This window comes from Homo sapiens, chromosome 9 (genome assembly GCF_000001405.40).
Source record: "Homo sapiens chromosome 9, GRCh38.p14 Primary Assembly".
NCBI classification, from domain to species: domain Eukaryota; kingdom Metazoa; phylum Chordata; class Mammalia; order Primates; family Hominidae; genus Homo; species Homo sapiens.
The window spans coordinates 97,835,435-97,858,417 of record NC_000009.12 but is presented as its reverse complement, the minus strand read 5'-3'; the positions used below and the strand labels follow the sequence as shown (position 1 = coordinate 97,858,417).

At 46.7% G+C, this 22,983-nt stretch overlaps 1 protein-coding gene and 1 long non-coding RNA gene across 2 annotated transcripts in view, besides 1 other annotated feature; one reads left to right on the top strand and one right to left on the bottom strand.

Moving 5' to 3' along the window:
• FOXE1 (forkhead box E1) lies at window positions 1,701-5,192 on the bottom strand. The gene has a single exon (NM_004473.4). It carries the CDS (start codon window positions 4,501-4,503, stop codon window positions 3,382-3,384), a length of 1,122 nt encoding a protein of 373 aa, NP_004464.2. The 5' UTR covers window positions 4,504-5,192; the 3' UTR covers window positions 1,701-3,381.
• Window positions 5,338-22,983, top strand: part of PTCSC2 (papillary thyroid carcinoma susceptibility candidate 2) — a 153,456-nt gene continuing 135,810 nt past the window's right edge. The window contains exon 1 of the long non-coding RNA NR_147055.1: window positions 5,338-5,502. This is a non-coding gene — a long non-coding RNA (papillary thyroid carcinoma susceptibility candidate 2). The remainder of the gene's footprint in view (window positions 5,503-22,983) is intronic.
• Window positions 6,224-6,725: an enhancer, noted in NCBI's record as "H3K4me1 hESC enhancer chr9:100613975-100614476 (GRCh37/hg19 assembly coordinates)". NCBI's record gives its function as "activates a minimal SCP1, AML or CMV promoter by ChIP-STARR-seq in naive H9 embryonic stem cells {active_cell/tissue: H9 hESC(naive)}" and the evidence as "EXISTENCE:reporter gene assay evidence [ECO:0000049][PMID:30033119]".

Below are 22,983 nucleotides of genomic sequence, written 5' to 3'. Positions count from 1 at the left end.
ACCGCTGCCGCCAACGCCGACTACCGTGAGCAGCTTCCTGCTCCCCTGTCGTCGCCTCTGCGGTCGGGGCACTTTCCCCAAAGCGCTGGCCGCAGGAATCTTTCCCCTTAAATCGGGGAAGAAGTTTCTCTAATCCATTTTCGCGGTGAACGACCTCGGGCCAAGTTTGCTTTTGTTGCTGGTTCCCTAAGCTTAATTGCAAGCAAAGTTAATTTGAAAGAAAATACATGATACAGCTCTAGGGCGAATTCTAACGAGCCTTGGGCAATGAGGGAAGAACGTGTCTAATTATCCACAGCCCGGGGACGCCTGCACACGACGCTGGCGGGTGCAGGGCCCGGAGAGGGACAAACGATTTTTCTGTGTTCATAAAGTGAAGAAGAAAAAAATAAAAAAGGCACCTCCAGTCTCTGAGCCCCCAGATGAGGGACTGGGAGGGGTTTGCAAATTCCTAGGGTTAGAAGGTTCCAAGACATACAGCGGAATGTTCTCAGGATCCCACAGTCACGCGGGCTAAGGGGGCCGCCCGCGACCCCGCTGTGGATGAGGCCCCGGGCGGCGCGCACTGTCTCCGAGGTACTCGCTCCCCTGCGCGGCGCCCATTCCCACCTGGCCCGGCCGGTGCGCGAGCTCTTGGTGTCGTCGGCCGGTGGGAGGCCGAGAAGGGCTGTCGCTCTGTCTTCAACGCCTTGATCCCAACCCTCGCGCGTCTCCGTGTCCCTTGGGGCACCTGAAGCACACAACCAGGTCCCTCCCCGCAGCGTCCTCTCTCTCCTGATGCTGACCCTCGCCTTTGGCACAATCTTACCTGTCCCGCAAGTTGACAAGTAGAATGGGGGACGAAAATGTCCGCTCTTTCCCACCCTGTCTTTCTCCTTCCCGGGGCTTTATCATGACACTCCAGGAGGCTTTGTTACAAGGCAGCGCTTATTTAAAGCCTTTCAGCCCTGCTATGCTCTGCGCTTTGCAGTTTACAAAGCGCTTTTCACCTCTCCTCTCGTTTAACTTCAGGAAAATTATCTGAGGTAGCAGTCACAAATTCCCATTTCACAAATGACGACCCGAGAGGAGAAGGGACTGGCTTAAGATTAGTGGTGCTGTCAAAGCACTGGACTTGCTCATTAGGAAACAGAGAAAGCCTCAACTCTGGCACTAAGGGCAAAAACCAGCCTTCTCCAGCCCCAGTCCCACGCCTGGGCTCTTCTGCAGCCCAGAACAAAACTCCTGGGTGGAGAACTCTTACTTTCCCATTCTTCTCAACCAGGCAAGTCATCCTGACCTCTGCACCTGGGACAGCCAGCTTGTCTAGCTGAATGAAGGAGAACCCTTGAACTCCATACCTGCAAAGATTCTTAGGGAGAGGAGGGCGGCCCAATACCTGCACTCTTCAAGGTCACAAGGCTGGGTCTGGAATTTGGGCCGACGGGTGGCAGGGTCAGCGCTCAAGTGCTTCCAGGTACCACCACCAAAGCCAGGAAGGGCCAGCACCTAGACCTGCACTGCACAACACAGTGTTGCTACTGAACACCTAGCAGGTGACTAGTCCACATTTAGAGAAGCTGTAAGTGTAAAACACACTCCAAATTGTAAACCCTTCATGTAAAAGGAGAGCAAAACATCTCAATTTTTACATTGATTATATGTTGAAATCATAATATTTTTGATATGTTGGGTTAAGTATATCATTCAAATTAACCTCACCTGTTTCTTTTTACTTTATTAATGTGGCTACTAGAATATTTAAAATTACATATGTGGCTTGCACCATATTTCTAATGGAGAGCACTGGTTTATACAAATCCCCATTTGGACTGAACCAAGTTCACATGTCTTCGTGAACAGGATAGTGCAGTCCCAAAAATAAAAAATAAAAATTACCAATGGTTTTCATACAATCTTCTTTTTCACACCCCAGCCCTTCCCTGTTAAGTTTATACAGAAAGAGGCTGAGTTTCTCTTGCCATAACTCACTTGCTCAAAGATTTTTATTAAAACAGTCCATCTGAACACTCCAGTTTATCTGAAAGCTGTGAATGGAGCCTCTGAAATATTTAATGCTGAAAGTTTTTGCTCCAGAATCGAAACTTAAAGATTTCTCAAGGGAAAGGGGGAGAGTTATTGGACTTTCTCTAATTTTAGTGAGCCTGCTACTTAAGCAAGATACAAAATGAAGTTAAAATTCCAGTTTCTTTCTAAAGCTCACTTTACTGACTGCCCTAACTTAATTTTTCTCTTTCCTTTTTGCATGGGGGAGGCTGCTGAGGTGTAGCAGGGGGTGCTGGGGATGGAAGAGCCCTCCCCAGCTACTGAAAGGCGTCACCAACGGGCTCCTTGAATCCTCTCATCTCCTTAAACTTTAGTTCACCCTTTGGGTCCAGGGCTGCGTGATGACAAGAAACAGTGGACAAATGAACGAATGTACTTCTCTCTGCCTTATAATGGAAAAGCAGATTTATGACTGGGCAGTAACAGCCATGAAATTACCAGCACGTCCTGCTCAAAAGTTCAATAAGTTATGATATAATTGCTGCCTGGAGCCAATCCTGGGACTTTAGGTTAGACGCTTGGCCATGAACTCTTTTCCGTTCCCTAGAACAGCGGCTAGGCTTTGGGTGGCTACTCAGAGGCCCTGGGTGGCCCACCATTGCTGCCAAATACGCAGGGCAGCATCCAAGATGATGGGGCCCTGAATGATAACCCGGGGGCGGTGGATAGAGTCCTGCAGCCCTCTAGTGTAACAGATGGGGGAGACTGAAGGTTCAGGTGATGGGACTGGAGTGCTGACGCACAGTTCAACTCGGAGCTAGGTCTCAAGTTCTCAGAGACAGGGAAAACCAGCCCAGGTCAACCAGAGCAGAGATTTCTCCAATTTAAAAAAGAAGAAAAGCCTATTTCTTTTGCAAATTTGTCCTCCTCACTTTAAGAAGAAAGGCGCTGCCGCAGCCTTTTATTGTAGTAACGCAGTTAAAGGCACTAGAGGACGAACCGCGTAAAAAGGCCCGAGTTCCGGCAGCACATGGAAGGCTGAAACTGATTCCCCACAATTTGGATCCTGGTCTCTGGTGTTGACACTACGCTGCCCTCTGGTTACCGCCAAGGACCCTCCCCGATAGAATACCAGAAAGCATCCCGTTTGAGGGCTTCGCTCCATCGAGGGTCCCTGTGCCAGTCCAAGGGCTCTGGCTGCCTCGCCCCACCTCCTCCCGTTTACAGAGTACACCGGGTGCCTACGCTGTGCGCGGGGAGACCGAGCCTCTGTGGCCTGCTCGGTCTTTTCCACGTGGGTCCCAGTTGAGTCCTCTCTCCATTCCTGTTCGTTCTCAGATTGCGGGGAACGTGTGAACAGCCGATGTGTCTATGAGTTTTCGTCCCTACGCTGGCTCACATGGCGGACACGAACCGATCTATCCCACCGGGATAAGCGGCAGCATGGCGAGCATGGTAGGCGCCTGCACTGGCCCCTCCGAGCTGCCCGCCAGGGTTGTAGCAGGCTCCCAGCGCTCCGAACTGGCCGGGCGACGTGCGCCCGTAGAAGTCCACCGTGGTCTCCACGCCGCCACTGCTGCCGCCCGCTGGGGGCGAAGCGGGTCCCGCCAGGCGGCCAGCAGCGGCAAAGATCGCACTGCCGGCGCCCTGCGGGTACGCGCCGTCGGGGCCCGCGTAGGCAGCCGCATAGGCGGAGGGGTTGGCCGGCCGGGCCCCGGTGCAGCCTGCGGGCTGGTAGCCGGTGGTGGTAGCGGGGGCGCCGGCGGAGGCAAAGGCGCAAGAGCCGCCGGGCCCCGACGGTGCGGGCCCCAGCTCTGGGCTGAGCGGCCGCTCAGGAACCAGGCCGAAGACGCGGCAAGGGCCGGGCGACGCCGCGGGGTAGTAGACTGGAGGCGGCGCGGCCAGCGACGGCGGCGCGTAGCCTGCATAGACGGCGCCCGGGTAGGGGGGGCGCGCGGCGGGCACCGCGCCTGGGAAGATGGCGGCGGCGGCGGCGGCGGCGGCGGCGGCGGCTGCGGCAGCCGCCGCGTCGTGCATGTAAGCCGGGTAGGTGGAGAGGTCCGAGCGCTTGAAGCGCTTGCGGCGGCGCAGGAAGCTGCCGCTCTCGAACATGTCCTCCGCGTTGGGGTCAAGCGCCCAGTAGTTGCCCTTACCCGGGCGGCCGGCCTCGCGCGGGATCTTGAGGAAGCAGTCGTTGAGTGTGAGGTTGTGGCGGATGCTGTTCTGCCACTTTTTGGGGTTGTCGCGGTAGAAGGGGAAGCGCTCGGTGATGAACTTGTAGATGCCGCCCAGCGTGAGGCGGCGCTCGGGCGCGTGCGCGATGGCCATGGCGATGAGCGCGATGTAGCTGTAGGGCGGCTTCCCGCGCTGCAGGGGGCGCTTGCGGCGCCGCCCGCCCGCCCCGCGGCCCGTGGCCTCCCCTGGGACCCCGGCCCCTGCTGCCGTCTCGCCGCGCTCTTCCTTCACGGTAGCCAGCACCTCCGGCTGCGGCGGCGGCGGCCCGCTCTCGGCAGTCATGGCGCGGGCGTCCCGCACCCCCGGGCTCTGGATCCCCGCGGCTGTCGGGGGGCGGGGGCGGGCCTGGCGTCCCCGGAACGGACGCTCGGCCCTTCTGCGGAGAGCTCAGGGGATCGTCGCGGGCTGGCCCCGAGAGCCCAGCGGCCCAGGCTGGCACGCGCTGGAGGCTCAGCGTCCGTGGTCTGGGGCTGGCGCGGTGCAGACAGAGGCTCGGGAGTGACCCGCTAGCCGACGGCTCAGCCCGCGTGGTGCTTCTCGAGGCGGGCAGCGGCGGTGGCCTCGTGACCGGGACTGGACTCTGGTCTCCGGCTGAAGGGTCCCTTGCGCGCTGGTGCCGGGCGGTCGAGGGGTCCGGAAGTGATCCCTGGGTTGGGGTGGCTGCAGCTGGTCTGTGGTGCCCGCTAGTTTAGGATTACTGCCTAGGTTGTGCGCGCAGAAGAGGCTTCGGGCTCGAAGGCCAGAGCGAGGGCAGTTAGTACTGGCGCTGGGCGATCTGGCGGGGGCCGCCCATGCCCTGCCCCCGAGGCCAAGGTGGCCGTAAGCGCCACGGGCAGAGAGGCGAGGCGGGGGCAGCGAGGTCGGGGCGCGGGCCCAGGCGGGGCGACCTGAGGCTGGTCCTCTCCACGGCGTGGGTCTCCAGCCCTGCGGACCGCTGGCGAGGCGCTCCCCTGCACACACCGGACCGGCTCCTCCCTCCGCCGGCTTCCCCTCCTTAAAGGGGCCACGAAGCGTGGGGCGGCACCGGTTCCCTGCCCGCCCCCCGACTGCCCGCCCCCCGGGGCCCGGGCGCACCTCCCCAGGTAGGAGCAGCTGTGGCGGCGCGGTAGGAGCCCCACAGCGTCAGGGCGGGGAGGGCGCTTGGAGATCCCCCGGGTCGGCCCCCTCCGCACCCCGATCGACTGAGGCCCGGAGAGTTCAGGAACCGGCTCGGGAGACCTCAGCGCCCGAACTCGGAGTTTTCGGACTTTTCAGGCCTCTGCCAAGGGCTTGGACTCGCAGGTGAAAGGACGGGCTCATCTCACTTTTTTGTCCTGAGAGGGTGAGAATTGGCCGAGAGGGCGCTTGGTTTTTGTGGGAATGGGGAGGGAGAAGTTCCAGGAGACTGGCTCCCCGGGCCTTTCAGGATGGTTTCCAAACCCCAATCGTGGCTGCCACAGCCACTCGGCACTCCAGTCCCCCCATCTTTCGAATGAGTATTCCTAGGCCCGAAAGGGAAGGTGACTTGCCATGGCCCCACTGCGGCTTCTCCGCTTAGCGGAGTCTCCAACCTGCGTCTCCTTTAGGACTGCGCTTCCCAACTGTGTGGTAGAGGTAGCCGCTTTCCCTTTTTGGGCCCCAGGTCCCTCGACTGTACCGGGGTCTGGATCTCTCAAGAGTCCTTGCGTGGTAGATATTTAGGGATAGGCCAATCACCACCCCCAATCATCCGTCTTTGAGAGGCCCAGGATCTGTCTCTATTTGATGGATAGTGGTGCACGGATTAAAGACGACGCAGGATAGGTAACCTCCTCCTCCAATCCCCCGGGACCAGGGTAGCTCTGAAGACCCCCAGAGGCAGCCAAGCAGCCCCTTCCCGCAGCGGGGAGTGAGGGCTGCGGGTAATGGGGGAGTGGGAAGAGAGCGGTGGCCGGGTGGGCGCGTCTCCGGGGGAAGGGGCGGGCAGTCGGGACACGTTTGCTTCATGGGTGTCCAATTTCTGAGTTCCTTTCCTGCTGTCCCTGAGCCGGAACTTGGTCCTAACCTGAGATCCTCGCGGCGCGGCCCCTCTGGCCCGGGTTCGTTCCCTGGCCATTCACTGGGAGATCCAGGGCCTGTCCTTGTCCCCTCGCAGGGCCTCAGTGTTCTACTCTGTTAAATAGCAGCTGGAGGGCGTGTGCTGATCTCCGAGGCCCCTGCTACGTATAGGATTCCGGGCCTTGGCGCGGGTTCCAGTGGCTCCAGCCCGGACGCAGCTTTCCGGGGTGGGGGGGGGGGGCGGGCCGGGGCTGTGGGTGCAGAGCCGCGCGGATGGTGGTGCCAGGTGAGTGTGGGAGATCCCAAGACGAGAGTTCTGGCCAGTAACGGGTGGCATGCCTTCCAGGGTTTTAGTCGCGTTCTTCGTGGCGGTGAGCTGAGGGCAGGCTAAGCCCGGCCAAGCGTTGGGCAGCTGCCTTCGGAAGAGCGAGGCAAAGCCCAGATCCTTGCTCCGTCGACCCGGTGTGTGGAAACGCTCAAAGCGTTTGCTTGACAACCTTCTGCGGCAGAGGGTTGGTCGAACGAAGGGAGAGGGGCTTTACACTCGCTAAACAAAACTCCTGGTTTCCTTCTTCCCAAGTAATGGAGAAGCAAAAAACCCAGATTTCGTCCTGTTTCGTTTTTACAAAGGAGGAAAAACTTCAAATTTTAAAATTTTTAACTGGATTATATTATAGGCACCTTTTAATACGGGATTTCGTGGCTCTCAGTAACTTTCAAGATTCTGAGATTCAGATATCTAGATTTTAAATTCTGGACGACCGTTGTCCTAACGTGATTCCATAAATCTAAAGAATGCGATCCTGCGATCCTGCGACCCTGTAATTCTAAGATTCCAAGACTGGGAGTCTAACTTTGACTATGCTTATATTCCTTTGACTTAAGCTTCTAGTCAAAGTCTAAAAACCTATGTATTAAGATACTGGGACTAAACCAGGCACGGTGGCGGGAGCCTGTAGTCCCAGCTACTGGAGGTTAAGGCAGGAAGATCGCTTGAGCCCAGGAGTTCCAGGCTGTAGTGCACAATCATTGTGCCTGTGAGTAGCCACAGCACTCCAGCCTGTGCAGCAAAGGGAGACCCGGTCTCTTAAAAGCAAAACAAAACAAACAAAAAACGGGGACCTAAGATTTTGTGCCTGAAAATATGATGCCACTCTTGAAGCTGCCACTTCTCCAGTTTTTTATTTTTTCCACTCTAAGTTATATATTATTTAATTTGAATTCCTGTTTAGGAATGTCTGATTGGAAGAATTTGAATCCTGTAAATCCGCAGTTCTCTCCTTCCTTAATTCTAAAATGTTAGTGCTGGATCTGCTATTCTGTAGTTCAAATAATCTGATTCCAATAATTCTTCTAATGTTTGTGATTATATGCTGTAATGATTAGTCCCATGACTTTATGATCCTCTACTTTTAAGCTGCAACGACTATGGCTAAAAGCCTTCTTGTCTCAGGATTTTCTGTTCTTCAGTGTCTTGTGTCTGTGACCTCATTCTTCTAGAATTCTGATGGTTTTCTCAAACTTTGTTAATATCAAGCTACTCCTGTGGCCGAGACCAAATACCTAGCATCATGAGATTAGAATTTCCAAGATCATGATTCTAAGATTTTCGCAAACCAAGGACCCCTAAATTTCTATTTCATAAATGTTCTCTTTGAATAATGCATTTGAAGATTCTGTGAGTCCACAGTGAGTTCACATTAAATGATTTGGTGAGTACACAGGTCACAAGTTTACCCGTTTGGATCAAAACCATACACAAAAATCTCCTCGGGGCATTTCCTATCTCTTCCCATTGCTTCCTTCTCAGTTTCTTGAGAAGGAACATGGTCATGGCCAAGTCCTCCCCTCTTCTCTGCCACAGTGCTCCTTAACGTTTATGAATCATCTGGAAGTTAGGAAGGGCAGGTTCCAGACCCTTGGAAATCATTCTCCCAATCCAGCAGGGGTGGGTTGGTGTTGATGTGGGCAGGCCAGTGATTTCTGCTTCCCACTGATCTTCAGCCCTTCAAGTATTCCCAGCACCCCTGGAGAAGCCAGCCTGCAGCAGGCCATTTTATGTGCATAGGGGGCTGGAGGTGCTATTGGGAATCTTTAGAAGATGTTCTTCTGCAACAGCTGCTTTCCTCAGTTTTGAATGGGCGACTTTGTAAATAAAAACGAGAGGGGTCCAAGGAGTCAAGGAAAATTCCTCCAGATTCCTTGACGGAGATTCCCCTGCATGCAGACGCAGAGGTAACCAGTTCTTCTATTAAAGAAACCATGGAAATTCAAGCTGGAAGGAGACTGGGCCTGGATTGTGGAAGGGACTTGTAGAGAGAAAAGCCTTGGGCTGAGAAGGAAACTCAGGTCTTTGGGCCTTACTCTTTGGCCCCAAAGCCTCTCTGTCTTTTCTTGAGTTCTCAGAGCCTTACTTGTACTTAATTCTTTGGCCTGGGCTGCCCTTTTTACTGAACAACAAAACTCCAGGCGTCCACACTTGCAAATCTGATCCAAGGATCTCCTTACAGCAGCATCGCAGTGACCTGTTTAGGTTACTCCAGTGCATTCTGTCTGGGTCAGTGGGCTGTATGGCCCTAGAGAGCATCAGAGCAAGACACTGTCACAAAAGGGGGCCCCCAAGTCACACTCGTCCTGCTGACCACAGAAGACATCCATGTAAGGCAGCACCAGTGTTGTGAGGGTTTCCACCCAAGATTGCTCAAGACCCACCCAGCGACTTTAAACCATCCACTGCCCTTCTTAGGCCTCAGTTTCTCTATCTGTGAAGTGTGTATGTGGGGATATCCCATATCTGTGCTTTCTCTTCCACCGAGTCAAGGTGATAAAGTGGAGCGCCTTACAGACGCGCGGTCCTCTTCTTCCTCTTTTAAATTGTTTTAAGGCGAAACTTGGACATGGAAAAAAGACGCTGGGGATAATTCTAGCCTGTTCCACTCACAGGCCGCGATGAGATGCGCACACCCCCACCCACCGCCCCTCTCCACGGAAGAAGTAGCGGTTGATTAAAGTGTAACATTTTCTGCGGTCTAGCGGGGGATTTTGAGTCTCCGAGGCTCCCGCGGGCGTGGACCCTTTCGGTTTCCCAGAGCTCGGCAAGCGCTCTCTCCCTTTAAGTTGGTCCACTTAAACACTATGAACAGCGAATCACTGTCACCCAGGGGACAGGATGGAGGAACTGGGGCCCAGGAAGGGGAACCTTCTGCTTCCCACCTCCCCGTTTGCTTAGATCCCGCCACCAACGTTTCTTACGTAGGTAAGAAGCACCTAGCCTTTCTTACCCCGCTCCCCGCAAGCCCTCCCACAGAGCCCTCTCCCAACCCAGTCTGCGCGGGCCCGGGACACTCAGTGTTCTCAGAGCAGCGGGGAGCGCAGGAGCCGGCTTGGAGGTCCAGCAGCTTTACGGCCACAACGAGAAGGGGAAGTCGGCTCCGGACGGCGCGGACTTGTCCCACTGCGCACAACGAATCGGGGACAGAGTCAAGCCAGACCCTGCTCCCGCTCTAGGTTGGCTCCACGCGCTTTCCCTGCGTTCCGGACCCGAGGACCACGAAGCGCAAGCCACTACCCGCGTCTGATCCGACCCAGGCGGGCGGGCGGGAGTTCAGCTGTGGCGGCGGGCATTCCTGGCAAAGCCGTGGCCCGGGGCGAAGGTGGCGGCCCGCAGGCGCATTTCAGTTAGATTCTGGGACCCTGGGCGCAGGATCGGCCCCCAGGCAACGTCTAGAGTCCAGGATTCTTGGTCTGGTTCCGAAATTTGTGCGCGGCTTTGGAACACTTGGAAACCTGAAATTTACACACTAGATTGTGGGTGTTCATTTCTGGGGAGAGAGTCCATGGTTTGCAAGACAATCTCAAAAGAGCCGATGATTACTCCCCTTCCCCCTTCAAAAGCGAGATGAGCTAGCCAGGATTCTAGTTCAACCACTAGAGGCACAGGAAGAGGCAGTGATTTTTTCCCCTTACCCAGGCCAGTCTCTGTAGGGATCCCATCCCGCAGCTCAGTCCGGCCGCCTGAGGAGGGGTAACAGGGCTGATTGCCTCCCCCTACAACGCAACCCGGTTGCTTGGCTGCTTGGCGCCCAAAGCATGAGGTGGGCGGTGGCACGGTGAGGAGGGGGCGCGGGGAGCTGGAAGACACTTGAACCTCAACACGAGAGAGCAGCCAGCTCTCCTCTGGCCTCCTCCCCACTCTCCCTAAGGCTTCTCCCCCGCCCCCCCACCCCCCGGGCCTGGAGTGCAAGTCTCTCTAGGTTTCGCCGTCAGTATTTCTGCCTCTGTTACGAATATGCGTGCAGGTGTCCTGCCTCTCTAGGCGCATCTCCCGGGAGTCACCCCCGCGGCAGCCTGCGGGCTGGAAGTGAGGGGGCCAGCTGCACACTCCAGCCGGGTTCCAGTTGCCCATACGAGCCTCCTTTGTCCTGGAGGATGGCACAGAGAGTGGCAAGACAGGACGGAGGGACATCCACCCAGGAGGACCCTGGAGCCCGTGGGAGTCAGATCCTCCGCCTTTCTGCCCAAGAGCTTCCTCTGCTGGGCAGAGCCTAACTTAGGGAGGAGAGGCACACAGGGTTATGCGGCATCAGCTTTCTCCACATGTCCAAGGTTCTAAACAGTCCGCTCCCAGCGGGCGCTCCTGCTGGCTCTGCACAAACCCTCAATGCTTCCCATCATCCTCCTGCAAGATCAAGTGCTATTTCCTGGGCCTGTCATTCAAGACCCCCTCCCTACACAATGCAGCTCCTTTCCACTCTCCCTTGGTCTTCCCTTTCCCAGCATCTGAGGACACTGCCCCCCACCAAGTCTTCTGTCACAATGTGACCCTCCTGTGAGAGCCTGTTACTCAGTCATCCAGTCTTGGGTCAGTTCCTGTCTCTGCCTCTTCCAAGCTGTGCAGCCTTGGGCCAGTCACTTATCCACTCAGCCTCAACCTGTCGATCTATACAATGGGGATAAATAGTAATGTAAGAGAGTTGTGAAAGTTAGTAATATTAACTCAGACATACATAACTCTTCCATGAACACACACTGTTGTAACCACTTTGCACATATTAAATACACTAATGTATCAGGAGACCCAGGGGCTACTCTCAGGCCTGTCACTAACTGGGCATTGGGAGCATATCCAGGATAACTGGCAGAGCACTGGATCTGGAAGGCATGGTAATGGAAAGGTAGGCCATCTAGACAGGTGGGCAACTGCAAAGCAGCCCAGAAGCAGGGGTCTTGCAGGTGATAAGCAGGCATGAGGGGAGATTCAGACTCGGAGCACCATCTTCTACCCTAGGTTCAGGTACTGGGGACCCAGGGATTATCCTGGGGTCTAGAAATAAGAAGCTTTGAGGGAGAGTTTGGCTAACTTGGCCCTACTGGGCTGGGGTCTGAGGGTCTCACAGGAGCAACCTTTCTCCCTGGTGTCCTGGAAACTTAGGGTCTTGCATGTGCATGTAGCCCTGGCCTTTGCCTGGGCAGATGTAGCCCAACTTTTGGCAGGAGGGTCGGGGAAAGATTCAGCACTGAGCAGGGTCCCAGCTTCTATAGGTTCAGGGGTGTTTTTGTCAGTCCTGAAGCCATCCGCATGGTCATCATGTCTATCAGCCACTAGGGTAGGACTCTAGGGAACCCTGGGGCTGGCCAGGAGAGCTGAGCTTGCCCTCCTGTTGTGGGTTTAAATGTAATTCAGGAATATGAAAAGATGAGGAACAGCTGCTCAGGTCTGTGTAGGGGGCCTCACCTTGGGTGGCTGGTGTGTAGCGCTCCCTGCCTTCCCTGAGCCCTGGCGAGGCCAAACTGTCCATAGGTGGTGGGACCAAACATACTGCTGGAACAGAGCTCTGGGTCAGAGGACTAACACAGTGGTGAAGCCCTGGATGTGTGTAAGGGTTGCGAGGATGGAAAGAAGTGAAAGGAAGGAGAGGAAAGATTGCTTCTGAAATGGCCAGGAGGTGGAGTTGACAAGGCTTAGGAAAGGCTGTCAGTTAGCTGCCTTGTGGGGTTGGTGTTCCAGTAGCTCTCTGACCACTCGGGCTTTGCCCTACAAGACTCTTTTAAGCAAAGCAGGGGCCCAGCTATGGAAAGAATCATATTAATGCTCTCTGAAAGCCTGTGCAGGCTTCTGTCACTTCTGTTTTCAAAGTTTTAACCCTCTCATAGACTTCCTACTATATTCTCATCTCTGGTTTGTGGAGCTGCCTCTGAAAGTTGGGGCATTTGCTGGCCAGAGATGATTGACATCAGCTTTACCCAGTGAATGAACAAGACTATCCAAGCACAGGTAAGCAGTTCCACTCGCTCCTCAGGTTCACTTTGTTAATCCACCTTCTAGTACCCCTTCCTTGGGAAGTGGGTTTCTAGAATTTGTCATTTATTAGATTGAAATAACCTAAAGAGTCAAACAGTGACAGATGATTTCCACCAAGAGAAGAAAAGGGGGCATCCTTTATACCATACCCTAAGCCTGTCCAGCATTTTATCAATGACTTAGAGCAAGCTCATCCAACCTGTGGCCTGCGGACCTCATGCAGCCCAGGACAACTTTGAATGCTGCCCAACACAAGTTCTTAAACTGTCTTAGAACATTATGAGATTTCTTTCTTTCTTTTTTTTTTTTTTTAGTTCACCAGCTATTGTTAGTTTTAGTGTATTTTACGTGTGGCCCGAGACAATTCTTTTTCTTCCAGTGTGGCCTAGGGAAGCCAAAAGACTGGACACTCCTGACTTAGAGGAAGACACAGAGGAAGGCAGGCTGATTGGGCTTGTGGCTGACCACACTGAGGTGCTAATGCTGGGAGCTGACAGACTCAAGGCATGGAATAATCACTGGGTTGGGAGCCTGAGCCAAAACCAACAAGAAGACATTTTAAAAACTGTTATGAAAACATTGTAATGTTACAGGAGACAAATCAGGAAGAAAAAGTCACCCACATGCCAATTACCTATCATTCATCTACTAGAATTTTCTGTTGTTTTTCTTACCTTTGTGTTCTTATGCATAAGTATGCATGTTTACATAAGTGTAACCATAGCATAAGTACAATTCCGTAGTTTTTTACAAAGTGCATTTGCATTATTTTATAAACATAGCTAAATGCTGCTCCTCACTTCTTGTTTTTCATCTGTAATTGTGAAGGAAATGGTCTAGTGTTGATTTAACCCTTTCACAGTAGCTAGGCACTTAGGTAATTTCCAGTATCTTTGGTGTAGGTGAAATTACTATGAATGTATTTGTATGAAAAGCTTTTTATATTTTTTTGAAATATTCTTAAGACAAATTCCCAAGAACAAGATTTATGGGGCCACAAATTTTTTATGGTTAATATAGTGTTACTAAGTTGTCTCCAAGGGTATCTTGTAACTCACTAAAATCAAGATAATTAGCATATTTATCACCCCTAAAAGTTTCCTCCTGTTGTTTTGTGACCAAATTATTCCCCACTCCCAATACCCATAAGCAATCACTGAACTACTTTATCACTATAGATTAGGTTGCATTTTATAGAATTTTATATAAATGAAATAATGTAGTGTACACTATTTTGACATTCATCCATGTTGTGGTATTAATAGTCTATTCCTTTATATTGCTAAATAGTATCCATTATATGGGTGCATCACAATTTGTTTATCCATTCACTTATTGATGGACATTTGGGTTTTTTCCATTTTTGGCTATTACAAATAAAGCTGCTATGAATATTTGAGTATAAGTCTTTGTGTGGACATATGTTTTCATTTCTCTTGGGTAAATACCTAGGAGAGGAATGTTTGAGTTATATGGTAGTTGTATGCTTAAATTTATTTCTATTTTATTTATTTAAAATTTTTTTTTCAATAGAGATTACTCCTTTTGAAAGTATGGTTAATTTTTTTCTATTTATTTATTTATTTATTTATTTATTTATTTTTAACTTTTTGTTTCAGGGGTACATGTGAAGGTTTGTTACATATGTAAACTTGTACCATGGGGGTTTGTTGTACAGATTATTTCATCACCCAGGTATTAAGTCCAGTACTCAATAGCTGTCTTTTCTGCCCCTCTTCCTACTCCCACCCTCCACCCTCAAGTAGGCTCCAGTTTCTGTTATTTCCTTCTTTGTGTCCATGAATTCTCATAATTTAGCTCCCACTTATAAGTGAGAATATGCAGTATTTGAATTTCGGTTCCTGCATTAGTGTGCTAAGGGTAATACCCTCTAGCTCCATCCATGTTCCCACAAAAGATATGATCTCGTTCTTTTTTTTTTTTTCTTTCTTTTTTTGATGGAATCTCGCTCTATTGCCAGGCTGGAGTTTAGTGGCACAATCTTGGCCCACTGCAACCTCCGCCTCCTGGGTTCAAGTGATGCTCCTGCCTCAGCCTCCCGAGTAGCTGGGACTACAGGCGGGCACCACCATGCCCAGCTAATTTTTTGTATTTTTAGTAGAGATGGGATTTCACCACGTTGGCCAGGATGGTCTCGATCTCTTGACCTCGTGATCCGCCCACCTCAGCCTCCCAAAGTGCTGGGATTACAGGCGTGAGCCACCGCACCCCGCCGATCTTGTTCTTTTTTATGGGTGCAGAAAGTATGGTTAAACTTTTAAGAAACTGCCAAATACGTTTCACAAAGTAGCTGTATTTCTTTCGTTTCCACTACCAGTAGATGAGAGTTCTAGTTGCCCTACTCCTCAACAACATTTGACATTTTCAGTCTTTTAAATTTTACCTATTTTAGGGAGTGTATAGGTATCTCATTGGTAGCTTTAGTTTGTATTTACCTCATGACTAATAATATATTTGTTATCTACTGCTGTGCAACCAATTACCCCCAAATTACTGGCTTAAAACAACAAACATTTATTATCTCACAGTTTCTGCGGGTTAGGAATCTGGGTGTGGCTTAGGTGGGCTGGGTGAGGCTAGTTCAGGGTCTCTTATAAGTTTGCAGTCAAGTAGAAATCATCTCAAGGCTGACTGGGACTGCAAAATCCACTTCCAGTTCACTTACATGGTTGTTGGTTAACCTCAGTTCTTCATCATGTGGACCTCCATAGGCTGCCCGAGCATCCTCAGGCTGGTGAACTGAGAAAGAAAACTAGAAAGAACCCAAATGGAAACCACAGTCTTTCTGTAGCTTAATCTCAGAGCTGCTTTCTATCACTTTTATTCATATTCTATTTGTTAGAAAGGAGTGACTATGTCCAACCTATACTCAAGAGGAAGGGATCACACAGAGTGTGAATACGAGAATGTGGAAATCACTGGGGACCATCTTAGAAGCTGCTTACCACAAACAATGTTGAGCTTCTTTTTATGTGCTTTTTTCCATCTGTAGATCTTCTTTAATGACATGTCTTTGGTGAAATTTTGGCCAATTTTTTAATTGGGTTGTTTGCTGTCTTATTGAGTTGTAAGAATTCTTTATATTCTTTATGCCAGTACTTTGTCAAATATATGTTTTGCAAATAGTTTCTTCTAGTCTGTGGTTTGTCTTTTCGTTTTTGTCATAGTGCCTTTTGAAGAGCAAATGTAAATTTTGATGAGGTCCAATTTATTGAATTTTTATTTTTATAGTTGGTGCTTTTTGTGCCCTATTTTAAAAATCTTTGCCTAACCCAAAGTCACTAAAATATTCTACATTTTTTCTGTACATTTTAGCTCTTATATTCAGTTAATGATCTACTTCAAGTTGTTTTAGATGGTGTAAGAGTTGAGATTCATTTGTTTTTCAACATGGGTACCTATTTATTCCAGAACCATTTCTTGAAAAAATTATCATTTCCCATTGAATTACCTTGGCACTGTCATTGAAAATCGACTGTCTTTAATGTTATTTTTCTCTCTACTTATACTGGATGGTTGATTTTTAAAAAATTAATAAGCCTATATTAGCATGTATATGGTATATAGCATTGATGAATTTGATTTTCTTTATTTTAAAATTTTGATTGTATACATAAAAAGTTTCATATATTCATGTTTGAATATTTTCCTTTGTAATTTTTTCTGTTGATTCAATTAATAGGAAATCATTACTTCTTCATAGTTGGGATAAATATGATACCCTGTTCTTTGATAATTTTTACAAAACTTAAAAACTATTTTTATTTATGTATTTATGAGACAGAGTCTTGCTCTGTTGCCCAGGCTGGAGTTCAGTGGTACAATCTTGGCTCACTGCAGCCTCCACCTCCTGGATTCACGCAGTTCTCCTGTCTCAGCCTTTGGAGTAGCTGGGATTATGGACATGTGCCACCACACCGAGCTAATTTTTGTATTTTTAGTAGAGACGGAGTTTCACCGTGTTGGCCAGGCTGTTCTTGAACACCTGACCTCAGGTGATCCACCCATCTCAGCCTCCCAAAGTGTTGGGATTACAGGCGTGAGCCACCGCGCCTGGCCAAAAACTATTTTTAAACACAAAAGCAATATAGTCAGTCACATTATAGAAATTCTGGAAAATGAGATTTTAAAAAGTTATTTAATTTCTCTTACTATAACATAGCTATTATTACCATTTTTGTATTTTTCCTTCTAAACTTTTTATACGCATATTTCCTACAAATGTTTGTGTTCCATGATTTTAAATTATTTAGCTTCTTAATTTATCTGGAACATATCACTCTCATTCTCCCTCCATAGCCAATCAATTCTGAAGTTCTATCTTTCCTACTTCCCCAGAATTCTTTCAGTTTGTTTATTTCTGTTCATTTTCATTGCCATTATCCTGGTTTAAGCTACAACAATCTCTTGCCTGGTTTGCTATAATGACCTTTTAAAAAAATCCAGCTTTATTGAGATATATTTTGCATAAAATAAAATTCACTATTTTAAAGTATACTATTTATTGGGTTTTAACACAATCGCAGACTTACACAGCCATCACCACTATCTAATTCCAGAAGATTTTCATTACCCCAAAAGAAACCCTATACCTATTAGCAGTCATTCCTCATTTCTTCTCCCTAGCCCCTGGCAACTACTAATCTACTCTATGGATTTGCCTATTCTGGACATTAAATACAAGTGGAAATATACAATATGTAGCCTTTTGTGGCTGACTCTTTTACTTAGCATAATTTTTAAGGTTCACCTATATCATAGCATGTATCACTACTTCATTCCTTTTTATCACTGAATAATATTTCATAATAATATTCCCTTGTGTCTATATGAATTTTTTTTAATCCATCCTTCAGTTGATGGACATTTGTGTTGTTTCCACTTTTTGGTTATTATGACTAATGTTATGAACATTTGTGTACAGATTTTTGTATGGACATGTTTCCAGTTTTCTTGGATATATACCTAGGAGTGGGATTGCTGGCTAACTGTTTGACATTTTGAAGAATTACCAGACTGCTTTCCACAGCAACTCCACCATTTTACATCCTTCCCAGTGATTCTAATTTCTCCAGATCCTCTCCAGTACTTGTTATTCTCTGTCAGTTTGATTTTTAGCCATCCAAGTGGGTGTGAGGTGGTAACCAATTGTGGTTTTGATTTGCATTTCTTTAATGACTAATGATGTCAAGCATCTTTTCATATGCTTATCATCCATTTGTATATCTGCTTCAGGAAATGTCTTTGAAATTCTTTGCCTATTTTTAAACTGGGTTACTTGTTTTACTGTTGAGTTGTAGGAATTCTTTACATATTCTTTGTACAAGTCCCTTTTCAGATATATGATTTGCAAATCTTTTCTCCCATTCTGTGGGTTGTATTATGGTGTCCTTTGAAGCACAAAATTTTAAATTTTGATGCAGTTCAATATAGCTTACTTTTGTTGCTCGTGCTTTTGGAATAATATCTAAGAAACCATCCCCTAATCTAAGGTCACAAAGGTTTACTCCTACATTTTCTTCTAGGAGTTTCATAGTTTTGCTCTTAGATTTAAGTTTGTAATCCATTTTGAGCTAATTTTTGTATATAATGTGAGGTCATAGTCTAGCTTCTTTTTTGGGGGGTGGTGCGGGGAAGATATCTAGTTGTCTCGGCATCATTTGTTGAAAAGACTATTCTTTCCCCCATTGAAAGGTCTTGGCACCCTCATCAAAAATCACTTGATCATAAATACAAGGGTCTATTTCTGGACTTTGAATTTTATTCCATTAATGATTTTCATATGCAGTATCAACCTTAACATTCCTGGGATAAATACCACTTGGTCATGGTGTATAATCCTTTTTATATATTGTTGGATTAAGTTTGCTAGCATTTTATTGAGTTATTAACATCTTGCATTAGAGTGGTACATTTGTTACAATTGATAAGCCAATGTTGATATATTATTATTAACTAACATCCATAGTTTACATTAGGGCTCATTCTGTGTTGTGTAGTTCTATGGGTTTTGAGAAATGCAAAATATAATGTTTTCTTCTTTTGTAATATAGGCATTTATAGCTATAAATTTCCCTCTAGATCTATATGTCCAGCATTATACCAGTATCACACTGCCTTGATTACTGTCGTTGTAGTAAGTTTGAAATCAGGAAGTGTGGGTCTTTCAATTTTATTCGTTTTTTTTTTTTTTTTTTTTTCTTGATGGAGCTTTGCTCTTGTTGCCCAGGCTGGAGTGCAATGGTGCGATCTCGGCTCACCACAACCTCCGCCTCCTGGGTTCAAGAGAGTCTCCTGGCTCAGCCTACCAAGTAGCTGGGATTATAGGCATGCGCCACCATGCCTGGCTAATTTTGTATTTTTAGTAGAAATTGGGTTTCTCCATGTTGGTCAGGCTGGTCTCGAACTCCTGACCTCAGGTGATCCACCCACCTCGGCCTCCCAAAGTGCTGGGATTACAGGCATGAGCCACCAGGCCCGGCCTGTTCTTATTTTTTTTATGATAGTTTAGGTTATTCTGTGACCTTTCCATTCTCATATGCATTTTAGGATCAGCCTATCAATTTCTATAAAACAGATTTTGATAGGGATTATGTTGCATTTGTAGGTTAGTTTGTGCAGTATTGCCATCATAATAATATTATGTCTTCTGATCCATAAACATGGGATGTCTTTCCATTTATTTAGGTTTTCTTTAATTTCTTTCAACTATGTTTTATAGTTTTAAGTAGGCAAGCCTTGCAATTATTTTGTTAAATTTATTTTTAATGTTTTATTCTTTTTGATGCTATTGTAAATGGAATTATTTTCTTAATTTCATTTTAATTTTTCATTGTTAGCATATAGAAATATACTTCACTTTTGTATATTGGCTTGTATCCTTCAATTTTATTGGACTTGTTTATTAGTTCTAATTGTGTGTGTGTGTATTCATTAGGATTTTCTTTGCAAATCATCTGCTAATAGAGGTGATCATCAGGTCATCTGCAAATAGAGATAGGTTTACTTGTTTCTTTCCAATATGGATGCCTTGTATCTGCTTTTCTTGCTTAATTGCTCTGGCTAGAACCTTCAATATGGTGTTGAATAGGAGTGGGGAGAGTCATCACTCCTATTCAGTGTTGTACTGGAAGTCCTAGCCAGGGCAATCAGGCAATAGAAAGAAATAAAAGGCATCCAAATAGGAAGCAAAAAAGTCAAATGATTTCTCTTTACTGATGATATGATTCTACACCTAGAAAACCCTAAAGAAAGACTCCACCAAAGGCTCCTAGAGCTGATAAATGACTTCAGTAAAGCGTCAGGATACAAAATCAATATATAAAAATCAGGGTCGGGCATGGTGGCTCATGCTTGTAATCTCAGCACTTTGGGATGCAAAGGTGGGAGCATCGCTTGAGTTCAGGAGTTCAAGACCAGACTGGGCAATGTAGTAAGACCTCGTCTCTTAAAAAATTATTTTTAAAAATGAGTATACAAAAATTATTAGCATTTCTATATGCCAGTAATGTTCAAGCTAAGAGCCAAACCAAGAATGCAACTCCACTTACAATAGCCACACTCACAAAGTTAGATGTGTCTAACCAAGAAGGTGAAAGATCTCTATAAGGAGAACTATAAAACATTGCTAAAAGAAATCATAGATGATACAAACAAATGGAAAGATATCCCATGCTGATGGACTGGAAGAATTAATATCATTAAAATGGCCATATCACCGAAAGCAATCTACAGATTCAACACTATTCCTATCAAACTACTAATGTCATTTTTCACAAAATTAGAAAAAATCATTCTAAAATGTATATGGAACCAAAAAGAACCCAAATAGCTAAAGCAATCCTAAGCAAAAAGAACAAAGCCATAGGCATCACACTACCCAATTTCAAACTATACTACAAGGCTACAGTAACCAAAAGAGCATGGTACTGCTACAAAAACAGACACATAGACCAATGGAACAGGACAGAGAACCCAGAAATAAAGCCACACACCTACAAACATTGGATCTTCAACAAAGTCAACAATAACAAGCAGTGGGGAAAAGATTCCCTTTTCAATAAATGGTGCTGGGATAACTGGCTAGCCATATGCAGAAGAATGAAACTGGACCCCTACCTTTTTTCATATACAGAAATTAACTCAAGATGGATCAAATACGTAAATGTAAGACCTAAAACTATAAAAATCTCAGAAGAAAACATTGGAAATACCATTCTGGACATTAGCCTTGGCAAAGCATTTAGGACTAAGTCCCCAAAAGCAATTGCAACAAAACCAAAAATTGACAAGTGGAACCGAATTAAACTAAAGAGCTTCTGTACAGCAAAAGAAACTATCAACAGAGTAAACAGATAACCTACAAAATGGGAGAAAATATTTGCAAACTATGCATCTGTCAAAGGTCTAATATCCAGAATCTATAACGAACTAAAACAATTCAATGAGCAAAAACAACCTCATTAAAAAATGTGCAAAGGACAGGAACAGATACTTCTCAAAAGAAGATGTACACGAGGCCAACAAATATATGAAAACATGTTCATCATCACTAATCATCAGAGAAATGCAAATAAAAACCACAATGAGATACCAGTCAGAATGGCTATTATTAAAAAGTCAAAAAATTACATGCTGGTAAAGTTGCGGAGAAAAGGGAACATTTATACACTGTTGGTGGGAAAGTAAATTAGTTCAGCCACTGTGAAAAGCAGTTTGGAGGTTTCTCAAAGAACTAAAACAGAACTACCATTTGACTCAGCAATCCCATTACTGGGTATATACCCAAAGGAAAATAAATCATTCTACCAAAAAGACACATGCACTCATATGTTCAATGCAGCAGTATGCATAATAGCGAAGATACAGAATCAACCTAGATGCCCATCAATGATTGACTGGATTAAAAAAAAAGTGCTATACATATACCATGGAATACTATGCAGCCATAAAAAGAATGAAATCATTTTATTTGCAACAACATGGATGCAGCTGGAGGCTATTATTCTAGGTGAATTAATGCAGGAACAGAAAACCAAATACCACATGTTCTCACTCAGAAGTGGGAGATAAACATGGAATACACATGGACATAAAGATGGGAACAATAGACACTGGGGGCTACTAGAGGAGGGAGGGTGGGAGCAGGGCAAGGGTTGAAAAACTGCCTGTTGGGTACTATTCTGACTACCTGGGTAATGGGATCATTTGTACACTAAACTTCAGCAACGTGCAATTTACCCGTGTAATGAACCTGCGCATGTACCCCCTGAATCTAAGAAAATAGTTGAAAAAAAAAGTGGGGAGAATGTACATCCTTTTCCTCTTCCTGATCTTAGGGAAAGCATTCATTTTTTTCACCATTAAGTATGATGTTAGCAGTGAGTTTTTCATATCTTCCCTCTTTCAGATTGAGGAAATTCTCTCCTATGCCTACTTTGTTGAGGTTTTTTTTTTTTTTTTTTGGCATCATGAAATGGAGTTGGATCTTATCAAATGTATTTTCTGCCTCTATTGAGATGACTGTGTAGTTTTTGTCCTTTATTCTATTAATATGTCATAGTATATTGATTGATTTTCATATGCTGCACCAACCTTACATTCTGAGATAAATACCGCTTGGGCATGGTGTATAATCCTTTTCATATGTTGTTGAATTCAGTTTGCTAGCATTTTCTTGAAGATTTTACATCTATATTCATAAAATATATTGGTCTATGCTTTTCTCATGATATCTTCGTCTTGTTTGGCATCAGGGTAATAGTGGCTTCACGGATTGAGATGTGAAGTATTCCTTCCTCTTCTATCTTATTGGAATAATTTATGAAGTATCGGTGTTATTCATTAAACATTTGGTGGAACTCACCAGTGACTCCATCTCGGCCTCAGCATACCCTCTTCCTGATCCTTCAACTGTTTGTGGGCTTTTTTTTTTTTTTTTTTTGAGAGAGAGAGTCTCGCTCTGTTGCCCAGGCTGGAGTGCAATGGGACGATCATAGAAGACTGCAGCCTTGAGGGCCTGGGCTCAAGCGATCCTTCCACCTTGGCCTCCTAAGTAGCTGGGATTACAGGCATGAACCACCATGCCTGGCTAATTTTGTTTAAATTTTTATTTCTTTTATTTTTGTAGAGATAGGGTCCCACTATGTTACCCAGGCTGGTCTCTAGCCCCTGGCCTCAAGTGATCCTCCCACCTCAGCCTCCCAAAGTGTTGAGATTAGAGGCGTGAACCATCATGCCCGGCTCAACTCCCCACCCCAAATATACAGTGTACAGTAACTTTTTAATCAAAACAGCATTATAGATGGGGAATGAAAGCCTGCTGTTATTTGTTGCTGTTGTTTTACAGTTGATGCAGGCATTCTGGTGATGCTACTGTGCTGCTCAGTTACCCTGAACACATTAGTTTTTTACTGCATTAATGG